The sequence below is a fragment of the Homo sapiens genome, chromosome 6 (assembly GCF_000001405.40).
Source record: "Homo sapiens chromosome 6, GRCh38.p14 Primary Assembly".
In the NCBI taxonomy this organism is placed as follows: Eukaryota; Metazoa; Chordata; class Mammalia; order Primates; family Hominidae; genus Homo; species Homo sapiens.
Window position 1 is genome coordinate 109,270,930 of NC_000006.12, and position 22,229 is coordinate 109,293,158.

Here is a 22,229-nt window from a genome sequence, read left to right on the forward strand (position 1 = left end):
CTCAGTCCCTAGCAACCACTAATCTACTTTCTGTTTCTATAGATTTGCTTATTCTGGACATTGTATATAAATGGAATCATACAACAGGTGACCTTTGGTGTCTGGATTTTTTCCCTTAGCATAATATTCTCAAAATTTAACTGTGCCGTAGCATGTATCAGTGCTTCATTTCTTCATTGCTAAATAATATTTTATTATATGGATATACCACATTTGTTTCTACTTTTTGGCATTAGGAATAATGCCACCATGAACATTTATCTATAGGGTTTTTTTGTTTTGTTTTGTTTCATCTTGTTTGAGACAGAGTCTTGCTCTGTCGCCCAGGCTGGAGTGCAATGGTGCCATCTCGGCTCACTGCAACCTCCACCTCCCAGGTTCAAGCGATTCTCCTGTCTTAGCCTCCTGAGTAGCTGGCACTACAGGTGCATACCACCACGCCTGGCTACTGTTTTGTATTTTTAGTAGAGACAGGGTTTCACCGTATTAGCCAGGATGGTCTCAATCTCCTGACCTCGTGATCTGCCCGCCTCAGCCTCCCAAGGAGCTGGAATTACAGGTGTGAGCCACCACGCCTGGCCTACGTATAGGTTTTTATGAGGACATATATTTTTAAATCTTCTTGGGTATATACCTAGCAATTGGATTGCTCAGATTATATGGTAACTTTATATTTTACATTTTGAGGAACCACCAAACTGTTTTTCAAAGTAGCTGCGCTTTTTACATTCCCATCAGCAATGTATGAGGGTTCCAATGTCTCCACATTTTTGTCAACACTTGTTATTGTTTTTTTATTTTAGCTGTTCTAGTAGAAGTAAAGTAGTATCTCATTTTGGTTTTGACTTGGATTTCCCTATTTACTAAGACCTTAAGCATCTTTTCATTTGCTGACTTGACCATTTATGTGTCTTCTTTAGAGAAATGTCTATTTAAATCCTTTGCCTTTCTATAAAATTTGATGTTTTGGTTTTTTATTGATGAGTTGTAAGAGTTCTTTAGATATCCTGAATACAAGTCCCTTATAAGGCATATGATTTGCAAATATATTCTACGGATTGTCTTATGATCTCCATTTATCTGTTATTTCATTACTTGTACTTTTGGCATCATATTTAAGAAACCATTGCCTAATCCAAAGTTATGAAAACACTCTTATATTTTCTTCTAAGAGATTTATGGTTTTAACTCTTACATTTAGGTCTAGGGTCCATTTATACTTAATTGTGCTATATAATGGGAAGTAGGGATCCAACTTTATTCTTTTCATGCGGCTAATCAGTTTTCCCAGAACCACTTGTTGAAAAGACTCATCTTTCCTCATTAAATTGTCCTGGAACCCTTGCAAAAAAAAACACTTGACCATAAATGTTAAGAATGTATAACTGGACTCTCAATTCTATTCCATTAATCTAAATGCCTGTTCTTATGCCAGTACTACTATGTTTTGATTACTGTAGCTTTGTAGAAAGTTTGAAATTATGAAGCATAATCCCTCCAAATTTGTTTTTCTTTTTCAAGTTTGCTTTAGCTATTTTGAGTCCCTTGCATTTTCATATGAATTTTAGTGTCAGCTTGTCAATTTTGGGGGCTTTAAAAAGAGTAAGTTGGAGTTTTGACAGGGATTGCAGCAAACCTATAGATTGAGTAGTATTGCCATTTTATTTTATTTTAGTAGGATTGCCATTTTAACAATATTATGTCTTCCAATTCTTGAGCATGGGATGGCTTTCTATTTATAGACACACCTTGGAGATGTTGTAGGTTTGGTTCCAGACGGTTCCATGCAAATTTTTTGGTTTCTGAGTGCATATAAAAGTTATGTTTATATTACACTGTAGCCAATTAAGTGTGTAATACCATTTTGTCTTAAAAAAACCCAATGTACATATACCTTAATTAAATATACATTATTCACTTGCAGACCAAAGAATATTAAGTTATAAAAAAAGAAAAAATATATATTTTTACTAAAAACTGCTAATAATCATTTGAGCCTTTAGTGAGTTGTAATCTTTTTGCTGGTGGAGGGTCTTACCTTGATATGGAAGGCTGCTGACCGATTAGGGTGGTGGTTGCTGAAGGTTGGGGGCCAGGGGTCTCTGGCAATTTCTTAAAATAAGACAAAATAAAGTTTTCCACATTAATTGACTCTACTTTTCATGAAAAGTTTCTCTTTGGCATGTAATACTGTTTGATAGCATTTTACCTACAGTAAAACTTTTTCAAAACTGAAGTTAATTCTCTCAAACTGTGCTTTATGTAATATTCTAAATCCTTAGCTGTCATTTCAACAATGTTCACAGCATCTTCACCAGGAGTAGATTCCATCTCAAGAAACCGCTTTCTTTCTTAGCTCATCCATAAGAAGTACCTCCTCATTTGTTTAAGTTTTATCACGAGAATGCAGCAATTCAGTTACATCTTCAGGTTCCACTTCTAATTCTAGTTCTTTTGCTATTTCTGCCACATCTGCAGTGACTTCCTCCACTGAAGTCTTGAACTCCTCAAAGTCCTCCATGAGGGTTGGAATTAACTTCTTCCAAATTCCTGTTAAAGTGGATATTTTGACCTCCTCTCATGAATCATGAATGTTCTTAATGATATCTAGAATGATAAATCTTCCAGAAGGTTTTCAATTTACTTTACCCAGATCCATTATGCAGGGGTGTCCAAATCTTTGGCTTCTCTGGGCCACATTGGAAGAATTGTCATGGGCCACACATAAAATACACTAACACTACTGATAGCTGATGAGCTTTAAAAAAAATTGCAAAAAAACTGCAAAATAAATGCAAAAAAACATGCAAAAATAATGTTTTAAGAAAGTTTACAAATTTGTGTTGGACTGCATTCAAAGCCATTCTAGGCCTCATGCAGCCTGTGGGCCATGGGTTGGACAAACTTACATTAGAGTAATTACTATCTATGGCAGTTATAGTCTTATGGAATGTATTTCTTAATAATGACTTCACAATACGACACAGAAACACAAGACATACTCCTTGATCCATGGGCTGTAGAATGGATGTTGTGTTAGCAGGCATAGAAACATTAATCTCTTTGTACATTTCCATTAGAGCTCTTGGGCACTGTCAATGTACAGTAATGTTTTGAAAGGAATCTCTTTTTCTGAACAGTGGGTCTCAACAGTGGGCTTAAGATGTTCAGTAAACTATGCTGTAAAGAGATGTGGTGTCATCCAGGCTTTGTTATTCCATTTGCAGAGCACAGGCAGGATAGATTTAGCATAATTCTTAAGAGTCCTAGGATTTGGGGAATGGTAAATGAGCATTTGCTTCCACTTCAAGTCACCAATAGCATTAATCTCTAACAAAAGAGTCAACCTGTCCTTTGAAGATTTGAAGCCAGGCATTGACTTCTCCTCTCTAGCTATAAAAATACCGGATGGCATCTTCTTTCAGTGGAAGACTGGTTTGTCTACATTGAAAATCTATTGTTTAATGTAGCCACCTCTATCAATTATCTTAGCTAGATGTTCTGGATAACTTGCTGCAACTTCTACATCAGCATTTACCACACTTCACCTTACACTTCTTTGTTATGGAGATGGCTTCTTTCCTTAACCCTCATGAACCAGTCTCTGCTAGTTTCAAACTTTTCTCTCATCCTTCAAGGAATTGGAGAGAGTTAGGACCTTGCTTTGGATTAGCCTTGGGCTTCAGGGAATTTTGTGGTTGATTTGATCTTCTATCCAGACCACTAAAACTTTTTCCATATCAATAATAAGGCTATTTTCCTTTCTTATCGTTCTTGTATGCATTAGAGTAACGCTTTTAATTTCCTTCAAAAACTTTTCCTTTGCGTTCACAACTTGGCTGTTTTGCACCAGAGGCTTAGCTTTTGGCCTATTCCAGCTTTTGACATGCCTTCCTTGCTAAGCTTAATCATATTTAGCTTTTGATTGCAAGTGAGAGTCGTGTGACTCTGCTTCTCACTTAAACACTTAGAGGCCACTGTAGAGTTATTAATTGGCCTAATTTCAATAGGGTGTCTCAGGGAATAGGGAGATCCAAGGAGAGGTAGGGAGACAGGGGAATGGCCAGTCGGTGAAGCAGTGAGAACACACACGTTTATTAAGTTCATCTTCTTATTTGGTGTGGTTCATGGCACCCCAAAACATTTACAATAGTAACATCAAAGATCGCTGATGTCGGATCACCATAATAGACATAATAATGAAAAAGTTTGAAATATTGTATATTGTATGAATTACAAAAATGTGACAGAGACATGAAGTAAGCATATGCTATTGGTGCCAATAATTTGTTCAATGCAGGGTTGCCACAAACATTCAACTTGTAAAAAACACAATATCTGCATTAAGCTGAGTGCAAGAAAATGAGGTATGCCTTTATTTAGTTCTTCTTCAACTTCTTTCAACAATATTTTATAGTCCTCAGGGTACAACTTTTATCCTTTTTTGTTACATATTAATTCCAAAATATTTCATTCCTTTTAACATGATTATAAATTGAATTGTTTTTCTTAGCTTCATTTTCAGAGTGTTCATTACTAGTATATTAGAATACAAATTGACTTTTGTATATTGATCTTGTATCCTGCAATCTTACAAAGCCAGTTTGTTGGTTCTACTAATTTACAGGTGTGTGTTTGTGTGTATGTATGTGTGTGTTCGTAGTATTTCTTAGGATTTTCTATATACAAGATTATGTTATCTGCAAGTAGAGATAGTTTTACTTCTTCCTTTCCAATCTTTATGCCTTTTATTTCTTTTCTTGCCTAATTGCTCTGGCTAGACCCTCCAATACAAGATTGAGTAGAAGTAGTGACAGTAGATATTATTGTATTATTCCTACTCTTAGGGGAAAACCGTCAACCTTTCACCATTAAGTGTGATATTAGCATTAGTTTTTCATAAATACCTCTTATCCGGTTGAGGACATTCCCTTCTATTCTAAGTTTGTTGAATGTTTTTATTGTGAAGGGGTTGGATTTTATCTACATATACTTTTTTTTTGTATTTTGTTTTTTTTCACTTAACAGTATATCTTGGTTATCACTCCAAATCAGTTCATAGAGGTTTTCCCTTTTTTGCAACTGTATAATTCTCTTTTGTGTATATACTAGTGAATGTAACTTACATGTAAAATTAAATATGGTTTTAAGAAATCAACTTTCCAGATGGTTTCAAACATTCTTTAAGCCTCATGGATTCTACTCAGCTCACCACATTAACCCCTTATCACATTTATCTACCTCTATTTACCCATTTCTACTCTCTCTTTTTTTTTTTTTTTCAGAGATAGGGTCTCACTCTGGCACCCAGACTAGAGTGTAGTGGTGTGACCATAGCTCACTACAGCCTCGTATTCCTGGGCTCAATTGATCTTCCCACCTCAGTCTTTCGAGTAGCTGGGACCACAGGTGTGTGCCACCATGTCCTGCCAATTTTTAAATTTTTTCTAGAGATAGGATCTCGCTATGTTGCCCAGGCTGGTCTCAAACTCCTGGCCTTGAGCAATCTTCCCTCCTTGGCTTCCCAAAGCAGTGGGATTATAGGCATGAGCCACCATACCTGGCCTGTACTCTTCATATTAATAGGAAAGTACAAATTTATGGGTATGGCAACAATATTGAATGCTAAATACTTCTACTGCCAAATACTCTGTCCCATAGAAATCACCTGCTGCAAAAAACAGGGATAGAGTGAGTTATATAGATTTTTAAAAATACAACCCCCCAAAATCTTAATTCAGTGCCTATTGTAAGTTAGGCTCATAAGATAATACTGAGGTACAATTCCTGACCCTGATGAACCTCTAGGCTGGTGTGTTTAAGGGGGGTAGGCCCACAAGTGGCTCAAAGACAAAGGCACAGAGAGGTTCAACAAGCCATACAAAAGGAGATTAAAGAAATGAGAATACACATCTGGGAAAACAGGAAGGGCAGCACAGAGAGGGGGCATTTGGGAAAACCCTGAAGGATGAGTTTTTTGGCAGGCAGAGATGACCACTTGATCATTCTGAGTAGAGGAAAGACCCTTCAGATACCCAGGCATGGGAGACAGAAAGGGCAAATGGGGACCAGGAAAAAACGAGAAGCCCAACTTGATAACCACTTATGATTTTCATACACAGTTGACATAGAGAATCCTTTACTCAGTCAATTTGATCTTATAAAGAATACCAGTATATAAAACAGATGTAAGTGGGGCTGTTCTGGTTGAAGTGAAGGTTAAGAGCTTATAAGTCACTTCCTAAGATCAATCCAAGGAGCACATGTTAAAAGATACTGGACAGGAGCACAGGACAGGGGTGGAAGGTGGGAAAGTGATAGCCTGGAAAGACCTGCAGCATTGGGAAGGGTAGGGAGGCATTAGGGTAACAGCCTGGGAAGGTGGGCTAGGACTATAATGTGGGTGCCCTGAAAGAACCGGCCCAGGTGTCATCTCCCTAGAGAGCCTTTTCCTAGTCTCTCAGATCACTAGTTACTATATTTTCTACATATAAAATCATTTGTAGTTCAATTATGTTTTCCACATTATACTGACTATAAGGACGGCTCCTTGTATATTTTTTTGTCTTTGTGTCTGCCTAGTAGACAGACACAAAGACAAGTAGGAAATACCATTCATTGAATGATTGCTGAATTCACACTTATTGGAGATTTAAAATGCTGTAGACAGACACAAAGGCAAATAATAAGTACCGTTTGTTGAGTGATTGCTGAATTCACACTTAAAAGTGTTTGAGCTAAGGAAGGACCTGACCTGAGATTCTCATTAGGAATATTCACTGCATTTGACAGGTTAAAGGGGAGAAAGGTAAGTTAGGGAGACCAAAAGGCGAGAAGATGTGAAGTCCTGAGCCATGGGTGCAGCTGTGGGGATGAGCGGGAGGGATGGGTGTGAGCAGCATTGTTGGAATGCATGCAGCACACAGGCTTGGGGTGAGATTGAAGATTCCTACCAGGTTGCCACCCTCAAATGCACACCCTTCAAACGTATCTTACACCTGCTACCATGCTTCTCTCCAGCCACAGAGTGTGAAGTGTTCCTCTTCCCAGTCAAGTTCAATGCCTCCCACCAACATTCTCAATCCATTTCCTTTTCTGAGGCCTTGATTCATTGGTTATCTTCTTTCCCTACTGCACTTCCAGTGTTTTTCTCCATTACCTCTTTCCACTTACAGGTACTTCCCACATTCCACTTAAGTGCAGGCTAGATTGTTTTCATCCTCTCCAGAAAGCTTAACTGAATCCTATGTGCTTCTCTGGCCAGTACCCTAATTATGACCTTTCTTTCTTATTCAGGTTTATTGAAAGGATGTTCTTTAACCCCCTAGCTCTATATCCTTTCATTGTAATATAGCTTGCTCTTCCACTACACCCCTGAAACTGCTCTCACTAGAGTCAGCAATGACCTCTCAATTGTTAAATCCAGAGAACATTATTAAGATGTTATATTTGACTACTTTCCTTCATTTAATGCTCTTGGTCACTCCCTTGTCCTCAATACTCTTCTTCCTCTGCTTCTGTGACTCCGTTCTCTCCTGGATCTCTTCTACATCTTTGATTCTTCCTTCTCAATTTCCTGGAGTTGGGGGCCTCTTCTCTACCCATCTCTATCATGATGGTGTTTTCCTGGATCTTCTTTTTAGAACTCCTATTCTCTCCTTTCATATTCTCCCTTGGTGATCTCATCGACTCTTGAGGTTTAAAACCTCCAATATACTGTCAACTTTCAAATCTACATCTCTTCATGGAACCTCTCTCCCAAGCCCCAAACTAGAGTATCTAAATGCTTCACAGATAGTGTTTGGATATCCCACAAACACCTCAACTCGGTATCAAAAGGCAACTCATTCTTCTCCCATCTAATTCTCTAGTATTTCTATTCTTGGTTAAGGTAGCACCACCTGAGTAGTAACACAGGATTTTTTTTTTTTTTTGAGATGGAGTTTTGCTTGTGTCGCCCAGGCTGGGGTGCAATGGTGCAATCTTGGCTTACTGCAACCTCTGCCTCCCAGGTACAAGTGATCCTCCAGCTTCAGCCTCCCAAGTAGCTGGAATTACAGGCGCATGTCACCATGTCAGGCTAATTTTTGTATTTTTAGTAGAGATGGGGTTTTGCCATGTCAGCCAGGCTCATCTCGAACTCCTGACCTCAGGTGATCCACCTGTCTTGGCCTCCCAAAGTGCTGGGATTACAGGCATGAGCCACTGTGCCCAGCCGTCAGAAAGGATTAAAATGTGGGTATTGTCCTCAACTCCTCTGGCTTTCTTACTTTAGATCAATCAAGCACTACCTCTTGCCAATATCACACTCTACATATTTATTGAATATGGCCCCTCTTCTCCATCCTCACTGCCTTAGTTCAAATTCTCATTATCTCACTTGTGTGACTATAATGGCCTTCTAAGTGGCCTCCATCCCTCTGGGTCCATGCCTTGCACCACTACCTCTGCCCTCAACCATATCTATCCTCCACACAGTGACCAGAGAAACTATGCCTCCTTGATTAAATCCCTTCAGTGGCTTCTTGTAGATCAAAGAGCAAAACTCAACCTCCTTAGCTAGGCATGCAAGACCTTCACTTCCTGACCCCAGCCCTCTATTCTGTCACTTCTCCTGCCCTCTATTTGAAGTATCCTAAACATTTGGTGCTATTTCATGTCTCTCTGCTTCTACTCATATTTCTCAGAAAATTTTAACCTTACTTTACCACATCCCACCCTCCCATTTTATTTTTTTGCCTCCAAGATTCAACTCAGTCATTGTATCTTCTAGGATGTGTTTATGACTCTTGACTAAAATGCATTTTGTGACTACTTCATTATAAAATGGTATACTGTAATACACACACACATTGCTTCTCTTACAAGTGTGAAACAACAAGAGGACTGATGACATCATAAGGGGAAATAAATGATGGAGACAATGAAAGAGTGCAGGGGAAGAAAGGGAAGGGAGTAAGAAAGGAAAGAGATGGAGAACAAATTGTGCACTGCCACCAAAGCCAAAGGAAGAGAACATTTCAAGAAGGAAAAAGTCACCAAAGATGTACAGATGACAAATAAGCAGAAAAGATGTTCAACACTGTTAGTCGTTAGCAAAATGCAAACTGAAACCCTATTGAGAAACCTCTACATGCCCTTTAGAATGGTTAAAATGTAAAAGACTGACCATCTGAGTGTTGGCTAAGTTGTGGAGGACCCGGGCCTCTCACACACTGCTAATGGCAATGCAAAATGGTGCAACCACCTTGGAAAACAGTTTGGCAGTTTCTTAAAAAAATTGAAGATATACTTACCATATGATCCAGCCATTCCTCTCCTAGGTATTTAACCAAGAGAAATGAAAGCACATGTCTATACAAACATTTTTACACAATATGTTTATAGCAGTTTTATTCATAATAGCCAAGAACTGGAAAGAATCCAAATGCCCATCAACAAGTGAATGGATAAACAAATTGTAGTGTATCCATACGACAGAATAGTACTACTCAGCAACACAAAGAAGTAAAATATTTATATCCACAATAATATGAAGACAAAAAAGGGCATATAATGCATGATTCCATGGATATTAAATTCTAGGAAATGCATTCTCATCTATAGTTGCAGAAAGCCAAGCAGTGATTGCTTAAGGAAGTGGTAAGGTGGGAAGGGTGGCTATGGTCATAATTTGATTGTGATGATGGTTACACAGTTGAGTACATATGCCAAAGCTAATCCAATTGAATGCTTTAAATATGTGTTGTTTCCTGAATGTCAATTATGTATCAATAAAGCTATTATTTTTAGAAGAAGAAGAAGGAATCCAATAGATTTGAATGTAGAGAGAAAATTCGGAGGGTAGGGATTAAAATGAGGCCACAAAAACTTCTTGCTGACTCTGAGAGCAGTTCTGCTAATGAAGTCAGAGTGAAAGCTAGAGTGCCAGAGTAAAGGAGCAAGAAGAGGCTGATAGATGTGTAGAAGGAGTGTGTGTTTATTGCTCTTGTATTAGTCTGCTAGGGCTGCCATAACAAAATACCATGGACTAAGAGGTAGAAATTTATTTTCTCCCAGTTCTGGAGGCTGGAGGTCTGAGATCAGGGTGCCAGCATGGTTGTTTTCTGGTGAGGGCTCTCTTTCTGGCTTGTACATGGCTGCCTTACACTGTGTGTTCACACTAAAGGATGGACAGGTGGGAAGCAAGTGAAGGAGAGCCCCGGTGTCTATTCCTCTTTTATAAGTGCAGCGCCATGTCAGACTAAGGCCCTACCCTTACGACCTCATTTACACTTTATTACTTCCCAAAGGCCCCATCTCCAAACACTGTCACTTTGGAGTTAGAAGTTCAACATACGAGTTTTGGAGGGACACAAACATTCAGGCCATAGTAGCTCTTTAAGAATTGAGGAAGAAACTTGAAAGGGTAGGAAGATTAAAGAATAAAAAAAAATGTGAACACATTTGTAGGAAGAGACTTGGACAAGAGGAAGCAACTGAGGATAGAGATGAGTATGAATACTGGGCATGGTTGGAATGGAGAGTGTAGGTGGTGGGTCAGGGAGTTAATGATTTAATTCAGCAGCTTCTGTGGCCCAGGCAGGCAGTAAGCTAGGTGATAGAAATAGGTGGACTCATGGAGTCCTCTCACTGCCCCATGTGATGGGGGGTGGGTGGGTGTTACCTTCTTTTTCTGGGTGAGGAAACAGGTTCTTAGAGGTTAAGAAAAAGAGACAAGATGAGCAGCTCAGTGTCAGCACTAGGATCTGATTGCAGAGCGTGTGCTTTCTTCCCTCTCCCCTCACTCATGACCTTGTAAGACCTCCCCAGTTCCCTGAACTAGCAGATGCTCCTATTTCCAAGAGACTGGGATACCTCAAGGGTCTTCAGAAAAAAATCTGGTTGAAAACCTTAGAGTTTTTTACCTAGGATCTTTTTTCTTTTTCTCCTTATGTCTCCTATGGTAATTCTGCTATGGGTAACTCCTTGTGTCTTTCACTGAAGAATGATCTTTCCTTCAAAGCTTTAACCTTTTTCTTTTAGTGAGTAGTTTAGAAAAATATAAATGAGTTCCATCCAACATGCCCCGCAGCTCCATAGCCAATGGAGCTGGAATATTGGAAGACATGAATTTCCCTTTTATTTCCCCATTCCTCATTCCCTTCTCCCTGCTTCTCCTCTTTTTCTCCGTCTCCCTTCTCCCTCCCTTCTTTGTCATTATGTTGTGCATGGTGGCATATAAAGCCCACCTCCATCTGCCTAGGTGCCCTGTGGGAACTTTTCAGATCTTGTAGCCGTGAAAACTATTATCGGTATTCCTTGAAAGACCACTATATACAGAGCACACTATCTAGCCACTTTGTAGAATGGAGATCTTTTTCTCAGAGCACTTTAGACAACTGCACTCTCTTCCGAAAATAATCACACTTAGTGCCTCACCTCTTAATTGTGCAAAGTGGTATCTCTCCTCCTCCACTCCACTCTTTTCCCTTTCCGTCTCCTCCCCTCCTCTTCTCTTCTTTCTACTCCCCTGTCACATGTACCCAGGCCTTTACATGTGTTGGGGATCAGTTGTGGCTGTGAGATCATTTTACAGCAGTGCTTCAGGACTTATATGCCCAAAAATTTAATTTACTTTGGTTTAAAATATTTTAGGAAATAAGTTCAGATCTGAGAAATCATGGTGGAATGGGCCCAACCAGAAGAAGATATTCCAGAATTGTGAATGGCATAGACAGCTCGCTGATAGCCCCAACTCCAAAAGTCCCAGATACACTTACTCATTCTCCAGAAAGATTTCAGGCTACCAAAAGGTACTGTACCTGGTGAGATGGAAGGAGGAATACTACTTAGAATAACAAAAGTGTCCTCTTTTAAGTCAATTAATAAATAGTATTGGGGGGATTGAAGGAGTCTAAACTCTCAGAGTGACTAGCATCTTATATAAAGACCTTGTATGAATACTGAGAGGGCTCAGCTCCTTCCAATATACTCCAGTCAATAAAGGACAGTGAACAGTTCCTCATTTTAACCCCTTCTCTTTTTCCTCCCCTCTTCTCTTTTCTCTTTCACTTCCCTTCTTCTCTCTCTGTATATTTTTCAGACTGCAAAGAGTGTATATCACAAGGAAGGCCTTTCCAAATTCTCCAAATCTATTTAAATTGAGAAGCACAGAACTGCCCTATTTTTTTTTTTTTAGACAGAGTCTCGCTCTGTCACCAGGCTGGAGTGCAGTGGCACGATCTCGGCTCACTGCAACCTCCACCTCCCGGATTCAAGTGATTCTCCTGCCTCAGCCTCCCTAGTAGCTGGGATAATATGCACGCGCCACCATGCCCAGCTAAATTTTTTGTATTTTTATTAGAGACGGGGTTTCACCATGTTGGCCAGGATGGTCTTGATCTCCTGACCTCATGGTCCACCAGCCTAGGCCTCCCAAAGTACTGGGATTATAGGCGTGAGCCACCGCACCTGGCCCTTTTTTTTTTTTTTTTTTTTTTTTTATGATGGAGTCTTGCTCTGTCACCCAGGCTGGAAAGCTGGAGTGCAGTGGCCTGATCTCAGTGCACTGCATCCTCTGCCTCCCGTGTTCAAATAATTCTCCTGCCTCAGCCTCCCGGGTAGCTAGGACTACAGGCATGCACCATCACACCTGGCTAATTTTTGTATTTTTAGTAGAGATGGGGTTTCACCATGTTGGCCAGGCTGGTCTTGAACTCCTGACCTCAAGTAATCTGCCCGCCTCAGCCTCCCAAAGGGCTGTGATTACAGGCATGAGCCACCACGCCCAGCCTGTCCTCACTGTTCTAACAAAGGTTCTAACATTGCTTAAAATAATAGGATGGTGAATTATTGTCAGAGAGGCACGACCTCTCCAGAGACATGTCTATAAATCAGAGATGCCCTATTCTGTCTGGATCTCTTTTCACCATGACAGAGAAAGAGAGACATTCATACTCTATAGTATGAATTACTTTGTAATACTCTGTATGATACTCTGTCTGAATACTCTGTAAATCATACTCTGTAGTATGATTAGTCTGAGTATTTTATCAGGGCCTACCAATGACACTGTACTTGAATTCTGGCAAATTTAGAATAAAAAATAATAACAGGCAAAGCAACTCTACTACTCAAGATGCTGTTAATCTGACATATGGCCAGAGTTCAAGTGCATTAAAGTCCACATTTCCAATGTGTGGATGGACGATTTAAGACCAATATGTCTAGTCAAGAGGACCCTTGGGAGGCCACTTCAATCTAGATATCCTTAGAGTCAAGTCGAGGAGAATGCAAAGGGAGATGGGTAGTACAAATACTGGGCTTAGAACTGAGAAAGGACTGCTGAAGCATGCTTCAGGCACAGAGGGTCCCCAAGCAGGATGGTGACACATCTGCATCCCTGGTGAATAATCAGAAACACCTGAAGCAGGCAAGAACCATGGAGGCACAGCCACCTGCCCTCCTGCTGCAATGCCCAGTATACACCTTGTCTTTCTGATCCATGTCCATATACCTCCTGCCTTGGGCTCCCATGTTTCTGTTCACTTGTCGGGGCTCCAGAGGCCTTTGTGTCTATTCAACTGGAAAAGGTGGGGCTGCGGGACATGATGCTGAACACCTTCCTCCTGAGGAAACAAACCATGGCCGACAGAACGAAGAGCCCTGTGAGTGTGTAGTGAGAAATGCTGCCTAAAGCTCTGGTCCTCTTTTGCATCTGAGCAAATGAAAATTCTTCACTTGGAATCTGGTGATCTGATGCTTTCAACCTATTTGGCTAGGACTGTTGAAAATATATTGTAAAGAAGTGAAAAGGGAAGTTCAATAAGAAGTAGAAAGGAATCAGTTCAAGTGGATTACAGTCATGCTTTAAAAATGTATGCATTTTCCCAATGCCGCATTTTGTTTTGTCACTTTCTAAATGAACTAGTTTCAGCACCTGCACTGGAACATTAGCCTACTCTTGAGTGACCCACAGGGGTTCGGGGATTAGACAAGGTAAGCAATGGCTCTTAACCATCTGGTCACCTGATAACCATCTGGTTATCTTGGTTTTTCAGACACTACCACTATGTTTGTATTTAAAGTTTTTATATTAGCCTAATCTATTGAAAAATACTAAAACTCAAAACTTTAATCAGTAAAAATTATTCCTTAATTTTGTGAATATCATTTCATTATTAATTTTTTGATGAGAAAATCATTATGGTAATACATTGTTATTTAGGAGAAGAATGACAAGATTTATAATTCTAGGCTTTCTTCCCTGCTTGTGACTTTAAAGGAAAGACTTAAATTTACCTAATCTAGTTCTACAGATGGGATATGACGAGGGCCAGCAATTACTGCTCAGCCATAATAGAAGCAAAGGGTCCCTTCTAATAAGCAATTCTCAAAAAATATCGACCAAGTGGAAAAAATATAATCATTCATGAACTGCCCTTCAGGATTATTCAACACCTATCAGATCAGAAAGAGCTCAGGCAATATAATTACCTGTATTAATTTTGTCAGGGTCTGGGGACTACTTACTGGCTAATAAGTTAACCTGTTACCGTTCCATGGATGCTGGCAGAAGGCACACAAGACTCCTTTGTCAGAGACAAAGAATTTTATTATGCACAGCAGAGTAGGCAATGTGATCTTCATGTTCGTGTCAGTCCCACGGGGACAGTGTGGAGGAGCCTACATGCAGGTAGTGGCTTGTGTCACAAGTGAAAAGCACTGAGCTTGGGGAACCCACCTCTTTTATAATAAGCCTGCTCTTTTTCCTGGAGAGAGACATTACCTTATCACTGAAGATTGCTTTCTGCAAACACAACCCTGAGAAATGGTTGTGAGGTAAAGTGTGGTCAGGGACTTGCATCCTTGGCATACTCAGCAAGATGGGTAGGAGCGGGAGAGAGACACAGGAGTGCCTCCCAACAAGCTTAACCCAGAAAGAATGTCTCAGCTCTGTAGCCTTTTCCTGCTTGAAGTCTGCTTTAAGTTTGTACACATGTACTAGGGTGGGGAGTTCTTATAGCCAATTGTCTACTAAAACTATCATTCTCCTTTATCACAGGATGAAATTGGAAAAGTCAAGAGAGATGTTATGGTTGAATATTGTCAGAAGTAAGTATAGTATATGTGAATAACACACGCTGATTTCTCTGACTCTGAATGTAATAAGTGGCAGTTTTATTGGGTAAAACCAAGTTAAACTGTGCTTTGACATGCAGAGAAGCATCGGAAGTGAAGGATAGGGGTCATTAGGAAGGGGTTCATGCCTCTGCCTTCAGGCAACAGCCACCTGACCCAAATGGAAATTCCTTCTTGATAGAAGTACTCTCTCCTTGAAAAGTCCTCCAGGGATGTAGATTCTGGAGCTTCTGTGAGAGGTGGAAGAATTTGGATTCTCCTTCTGGACATCCTCTCTTCTGACTTTCAGGTTTAACCACCGCATGTCTCACTATGCTCTTCGGGGTCAGATCATGGCATACTGCAATAGCCTGAGAGATCTTCTGGAAGATTTTCCTACCATCAGGGACACCTTTTTCATGGTAGGGCAACCACAAGAGAAGAAGGGGTTGAGAGACTCCAAGGAGGGCCTCAAGGCTGACCCCAGGTGCGTAATTTGCTTCAGTGTTTATTACTCTCCTTCCCTGGCCCTACTTCTCCCTGGGGAGAGGCATGTTAAGTTTAATATTAAACCTTTGCTCCCTTTACTGCACTTGACCTTGATCTTCTTGTCCAAAAGGGCAAAAGGAAGAGTTAATACTCCAAGAATAAGAGTATCTTTGTATTTGAACCCAAAAGGGGTTCTTTGTTTATAGGCTGTTTGACTGCTTTTTCAATCTCTTCGTCTGATGACTGAGGAAATTGAAGAAGCAGCTCTCTGAAGTTAAACATGTTATGATTCTTGGGGCTAAGTTATCTAGAGCATGATTGCAAGGAATAGGACTGCTGAAGAAATACTTTATGGAAAGGGGCCATTTTTAAGACTGCTCAGGACATGGCAAATAGGAATCATCCCTAGCCAGAGTTAACTAGAGATGAAGGGACAGAGTTGAGGAATGAGGGCCATAGAGGAAAGAGGTCCTCATCTCATTCATAAAATAAGGGGTTGAGTTAGAATGAAGATAAGAAATAAGGTTTATTCTAAATGTCAGTTCAAACAATGCATTAGTGGCCCTGCTGAGGATTCTGAGGCATCTCAAGTTTGTGAGAGTAATTGTAATTGATTGGCAATGTCTGCCATGCTCAAGGAAAGGCAGAAAGGTAATTTCCATGCTATGGGTTTGCCATCCTTGACTAGAAGAGCCCGTAAAATTCTATAATCCTACTTAATTCTGCAAAGGCTGTAATGTAGTGTGTTTGGTTTAGCAAAGATACCCCTGTCCCGGTAGAGGAGGAGCAAAGGGGAGCCCTCTTCCTAAGCAGGAAGTCCCTTGAGGCTTCCATTCCCTTCATGGCCCAGAGGAGACTGGAGTCTGGGGCCTAGGATGACACTTCAGTCCACTCCAGGAGAAGCTGCATTTGCTGATGAACAGAGAGAGGATGCTAAGATTAATTGAGCTCTTACTTTGTGACAGGTAGAGCCACTGTCATCCCATACAGCTACTTTGTGCAAATTAGAAGGCAGCACCCCTTCCTCTGGGCAGGTGTGGTCTCATCCCAGGGAAAAGCCTCTAGCAAGTGAAGTACAGGTTGGATCTTGGCCATCGCTTGTTGCCTCAGGGTACAACCTGAACAACAGTATATGGCAGCCTTGGTATCAAGTGCTGGTCCTTCCGCAGCAATGGGAAATAGGTAATTACAGTACACTGTGATAAAGAATAAAGTAAAATAAATGTTTAATGAAAGCACCCACCAAGAAACAGTATTATCTGAAGGATTGGGTTGATGGAGATGGGGAGCAAAAAAGGCTCCAGGGAAGAGGGGATGCTTAATGTGGGTCTTGAATGACAACTAGTGCTCCAGGGAGACAGGGAAAAGAAATTCAGCTCAAGCTGGGAGAATCACATGTGCAAAGGAACAGAGGTGTGAGACAGCATGTGGACTTGTGTGGGACTCATATCCAGAGTATGTGAGGGCAGCAATGGGAAGTAGAACGTATCGAAGGGTGAGGAAAGAGCCAGAAGGCTGTGTTTGTCCTTCAGGTCACTGGGAGAAGTGGAGCAAGATGATTGTCAGTGACATTATGTAGGAAGCTACTAAAATTGTACAGACAAGAGACGGTTAGAAGGTGAAATCAGCTAGGCCAGATGGCGGATATAATAAGAAGCTGAGGGAGACGGAGGAATCTAGGATGTCACTCAGAATCTCTGGCTTGGGTGGATGAAAAGATAGCAGTGCCATTATTGTTTAATGGACACAGACTTTCAGTTTTGGAAGATGAAAAAAGTCCTGGAGATGGATGGTAGCGATAGTTGCACAACCCTGTGAATGTACTCAGTTCCACGGAACTATACACTTAGAAATGGCTAAAATGGCTGAGAGGTGGGCCCTGGGGTGGCCAGCTGAGCTCGGAGCCAAGCAGGGTCAGGATAGACGAGGACGTGCTGACCACCCTGAAGATCCTCATCATCGGCGAGAGTGGGGTGGGCCAGTTCAGCCTCCTCTTGAGGCTCACAGATGATACTTTCAATCCAGAACTTGCAGCAACAATAATATGATTAGCAAACAGTATGATTAGAACGTATGCCAGGTGAAACAAAGGGATCACTGTCATAGAAGTTGCCTCAAATTCCAGCTGCCTGGAAAGCAATGTAAAGTGGACCACCTGCCACAAAAAATATACTCAGTGAGCTCCAAGCAAGTTTTGGGGACTTCCCAAAACCAACGAAAACTTCAACTAAAAGTAGAATTTCAAAGTACTGTAATTTAGTTAGCAACCAACCCCCCACATCAAACATGAACATCAATGTCTGTACTGAACAGCCTCATATGCTGGACACAAAATTTGTGTTATCGACCTGAATGTTACCAAGGATTCACGATTTCTGGCATCCATCGGTTTCATTTATTTATTTATTTACTTACTCATTTATTTATTTTGAGACGGAGATTCGCTCTTGTTGCCCAAGCTGGAGTATGATGGCACGATCTTGGCTCACTGCAACCTCTACCTCCTGGGTTCAAGCAATTCTTCTGCCTCAGCCTCCGGAATAGCTGAGATTATAGGTGTGCATCACCATGCCTGGCTCATTTTTTTTTAATTTTTAGTAGAAACAGGGTTTCACCATGTTAGCCAGGCTGGTCTCGAACTCCTGACTTCAGATGATCCACCTGCCTCAGCCTCCCAAAGTGCTGGGACAGGTGTGAGCCACCATGCCCGGCCCCAACATTGTTAATTTAAGAAAGTTGGATTGGCCAGGCGCGGTGGCTCATGCCTGTAATCTCAACACGTTGGGAAGCCAAGGCAGGTGGATCACCTGAGGTCAGGAGTTCAAGACCAGCCTGCCCAACATGATGAAACCCTGTCTCTACTAAAAATGCAAAAATTAGCTGGGCATGGTTGCAGGCACCTGTAATCCCAGCTACTCGGGAGGCTGAGGCAGGAGAATCGCTTGAACCTGGGTGGCGGAGGTTGCAGTGAGCCGAGATCGTGCCACTGCACTGCAGCCTGGGTGACACAGCGAGACTCGCCTTAAAAAAAAAAAAAAAAAGAAAGAAAGTCAGATTAAGTACCAAATACAGTAGAGCAAACCCAGCTGTGAGGCAAGGACCCCATCAAGTAGTCATGCAGTGCTTTTGTTAGGGTTCTCGGAGCAAGTCTTCCTCATCCCTCCCACATCCTCCTGACCTCCCTGTAAACCTGAACTACCAGGTACCTCGATTTTCTTCAAGGCCAGACTGTTCTTAATGTTGCTAAATTGGTTGAGGGAATGGGTGAGCCATCTTGCTCTGCACGTTGTCCTCAGGGTGCTCTTCAGGCAGTTCAGCAGCCACATGGCTTTGGACTGCAGGAGGAACTGGCCCATTACCTAGGCCAGTTACATCCCAAGATGTGTCCTCCAAAGAAGCCGATCAGACAGAGGGATGCTCACTGTGGTTGTAGCTCAGGTCGAACGTTTTGTCCACTTGCCAGACATCCAGGAACGGGTTGGAGGACACACAGAGCCTCTTGTACCTCACGCACACCTGCTCGTACTGGATCTGGCTTCCGTTTCCCTGTGCCACACGTAGATCCTGCACCGTGCTGTCCAATTTACTGACTTTGCAAAGATGTCCGGTTCCAGCAGTGGGTTGCTGTGGGAGCCCACCAGAATCCAGGTGAAATTGGCCTGAGTGCACCTCCTGGAGGTGGAGAGGCGGTAGGAATCGTTGGTGGTGAAATAGCCCTGCACAAAGCGTCTCTCCGCCTTGGCCGGGCTCCCCACCGGGATGCACTGCTCCTGCAGATCTTCCTCTTCGTCCTTGGGAAGGTGAAGGAAGCCGGCGCCCAGCACGGCCGTCAGCATCATGGGCGCCAGCAGGAAGATCCAGGGGTGCGCGTCCACCTGCCACCTCGGCCACTGGAAGAAGAGCGGCGCCTCCAGGCAGTCGGTGTGGCAGTGGCGCCAGCAGACGGGGTCTCCGGGGTTTCCACCTCTGGCAGGGGTGCGTTGTCCCCCTCCAACGCCGGGGATGGCTGTGGCCCCTGCCCCTGCCCCAGCGACGGCCGCCGCTCCGAGGGCTGCCCTGAAGCCCCGCCCGGCAGCGATTCCAGTTCCTGATCCCACTCCGGGACCTCCCCGGCCCCGAACCTTGTGACGTCGAGCTAAGCTCTGTCTGGGACCCCTGCGGCCTCTTGGAGCCTGGCCCCGGCCCCGGCTTCCCCTCTGACTCGGACTCCGGTTTCAGCTCTGACCCCGGCCAGACCCCGGCCAGACCCAGGCCCCGTTGCCCAGTCACGCTTCCTGGACGGCGACTCAGTCTTGGGGTCCAGCTGCGCCACGACCTTAGAGGAGCTGAAGCCCATTTCCGGGAAGCACAGGCGGCGTTCTCACTCGACACAGCCGGTGAAGAAGCAGCTGCTGGCGGAGCTGCCACCTCTGCCCTATCCAACGGCTTCCTGGAGAAATTCTAGGGGAGCCTGTGTGAGCGCGCCTGGAGCAGAGGCGGCGTGGGGAGCACGTGGTTGGCCCTGTCGCTTAACTAATCTGAAATGTGTTGGTGGCATGCTTGGCCTCTCAGGAGGTTCAGCAAATACAACGAACACTTCTTCAAGGCCATCAAATGCGTGCCTGTTCTGTGGGACTCGCAATGTATTGGGAGAATTTGAGTGTTTCTCCCCACAACACATAAACGGCACAGAAATTCCACGTGTCGTGAGTAACAGATTTTACCTTTCTTGCAGTCCACCCAGTAGCAGTTTGAGGTCAGACAGGTAATGCGACGACGTTGTAACAAGGTTCGAGAATAGCACATCTCACACACACGTGTGAACACCCAATCATCAGGCTCATGAACTACAAAAGAATCCTCAAGCCTTTTAAATAAACTTCCACTCCTGCTCTGAAAAAAACAAAAACAAAAACAGGCTAAAACGGTAAATTTTGTGTTATGCATATTTTACCACAATTTCTTAATGGAGGGGAAAAGATGGCAATGTCATTGGGACAAAGGGATATGGAGGGAGATGAGAAATCACAGCTCAGAAGCCTCAGCTGTGAATTTCTTCCACCAGCCTCCCAACAAGGCTCAGGTGCTTCTTGTTGGGCGTCCTCTGCACTGTCATAGGCTTCCATTAGCCATGCTGCTACCACAGTGTCATGGTTCCCAGCTGCCTCTGGAAGGTAGGAGCATGGAGGGGAGAGGCTGTCTTCATTTTGTATCCAAGGTGTGCACCTCTGACTTTGACCCTGGTTGAAAGGGAGGGTATGTGTGTATTAGGGGTGGGGGTTGGGGAAATAGGCCATCAGGAAAGGGAGGGAGTTCCAGCAGTGGCCTTTAATTTGATCATGAAATAGCAGACCATGTCATCATCTGCTGGCAGGAATTTGGTATGGGGGCCTTAAAGAAGGCTTGGAATTATGAAACAAGAAGATGGGCACGAGAGCTGATCAAAGGAAAGGAAAAGGATTGTTCCAGGGTGACATACCTCAGGCTGGAAACCATTTCCATCAGTATAATTAGCAGTGTGATTTCCTCCAGCTGTGCTTAGCAGCATGACATCAGAAACAGCAAGCTGAGTGGTTGGAGGGACCCAGAACTGGGGCTTTGATAGGTAGGTGGGTTGTGAGTACAAAGCAGCAGAGAATTGAAGGTGCTGGGGAGAGAGTGGTTCGCATGCTTGACTGTGAGATCCAGTCTGGGTAGGGAAGGGAGTGAGGTCAGAAAGGAGCTGACAGATGGAAGGGGAGACCAGAGGACTGGATGATGTCAAGGGACCTATTTTGGGGGAATAAAGGAAGGGAAGTTTAGTGAGAGTGGATGACTCAGAAAACTGGAGGAATAAAATATGGAGCTGGGAAAGTTAAGACTTTGGAGGTGATATGGTTTCAGAGGATAATAAAGTCTTGGGTGTGGCCCAGAAGTGGTCAGCTGAAGGGGAATGAAAGGGGACAGTGTTGAGCAGGTTGGGGAACTGCCAGGCCAGATAATTGGCAGGCCATCCACAAGGGGCAGGGGCAAGTCTGCTTGTGGGGCTGAGAACCAGGCTATGCTTCATGTACTGAGCACCTAAAGCTTTCTGCAGTCATCTCTGCTCTTCTCAGCCGACGGCTGCTCACTGCAGGCAGGACTGGAAATGGCAGGAAATAACAGATAAGAAGTAAAGGATAGCACTTGGTAGACAGCCCAGTGGCTCCAGGGACACATGTGCTTCTCAGAGGCCAAGGAAGGACTGGTTCAGTCCTTGCTGCTAGCAGCACCTGCCAGCATGTGGATTGCAGTCCCATGTGCCTGGATGCAGACCCTGCAACTTTTTAGTTTTGATATTCATTGTTACCTCTGGGCAGGAATGAGCATGGTGAACTGAATAATAGAGATGAGACTGGATTACGCTGGTTTTGATCTGTTTCAGGACAGGAATTGTTTGACTTTGTGGTTGCTAAAAGAAAGGCAATTCTCCAAACTAAGACCATACTTTATTCCTGAGTTTAGAATTAACTGATTAAAATCCTGAGACTTATGTTTATTGTAGCACTATTCACAACAACCAAGATATAGAATCAACCTAATAACCCACAAATCAGTCATTTGCAGCAGCACGGATGCACCAAGGATTTTCCACCAAAAAAAACAAGGCATTGATAAATGTAAAATTAATCAATTTTAAT

The 22,229-nt window shown here is 42.8% G+C and overlaps 1 non-coding gene and 2 pseudogenes across 2 annotated transcripts in view, besides 1 other annotated feature; 1 reads left to right on the forward strand and 2 right to left on the reverse strand.

Moving 5' to 3' along the window:
* CCDC162P (coiled-coil domain containing 162, pseudogene) overlaps nucleotides 1–22,229 on the forward strand; it is a 189,118-nt pseudogene that overhangs the window by 105,099 nt on the left and 61,790 nt on the right. The window contains exons 24-26 of the transcript NR_152435.1: nucleotides 11,638–11,795; nucleotides 15,047–15,096; nucleotides 15,413–15,589. The product of NR_152435.1 is annotated as a coiled-coil domain containing 162, pseudogene (transcript). The remainder of the gene's footprint in view (nucleotides 1–11,637; nucleotides 11,796–15,046; nucleotides 15,097–15,412; nucleotides 15,590–22,229) is intronic.
* PTCHD3P3 (patched domain containing 3 pseudogene 3) lies at nucleotides 18,775–19,592 on the reverse strand (annotated as a pseudogene).
* Nucleotides 20,113–21,312: an enhancer, noted in NCBI's record as "BRD4-independent group 4 enhancer chr6:109612245-109613444 (GRCh37/hg19 assembly coordinates)". NCBI's record gives its function as "activates an origin of replication core promoter dependent on BRD2, P300/CBP, MED14 and CDK7 cofactors, and independent of BRD4, by STARR-seq in HCT116 cells {active_cell/tissue: HCT116}" and the evidence as "EXISTENCE:reporter gene assay evidence [ECO:0000049][PMID:35650434]".
* On the reverse strand, nucleotides 20,326–20,429 carry LOC124901530 (small nucleolar RNA U13). The gene has a single exon (XR_007059961.1). It is a non-coding gene; the product is annotated as a small nucleolar RNA U13 (small nucleolar RNA).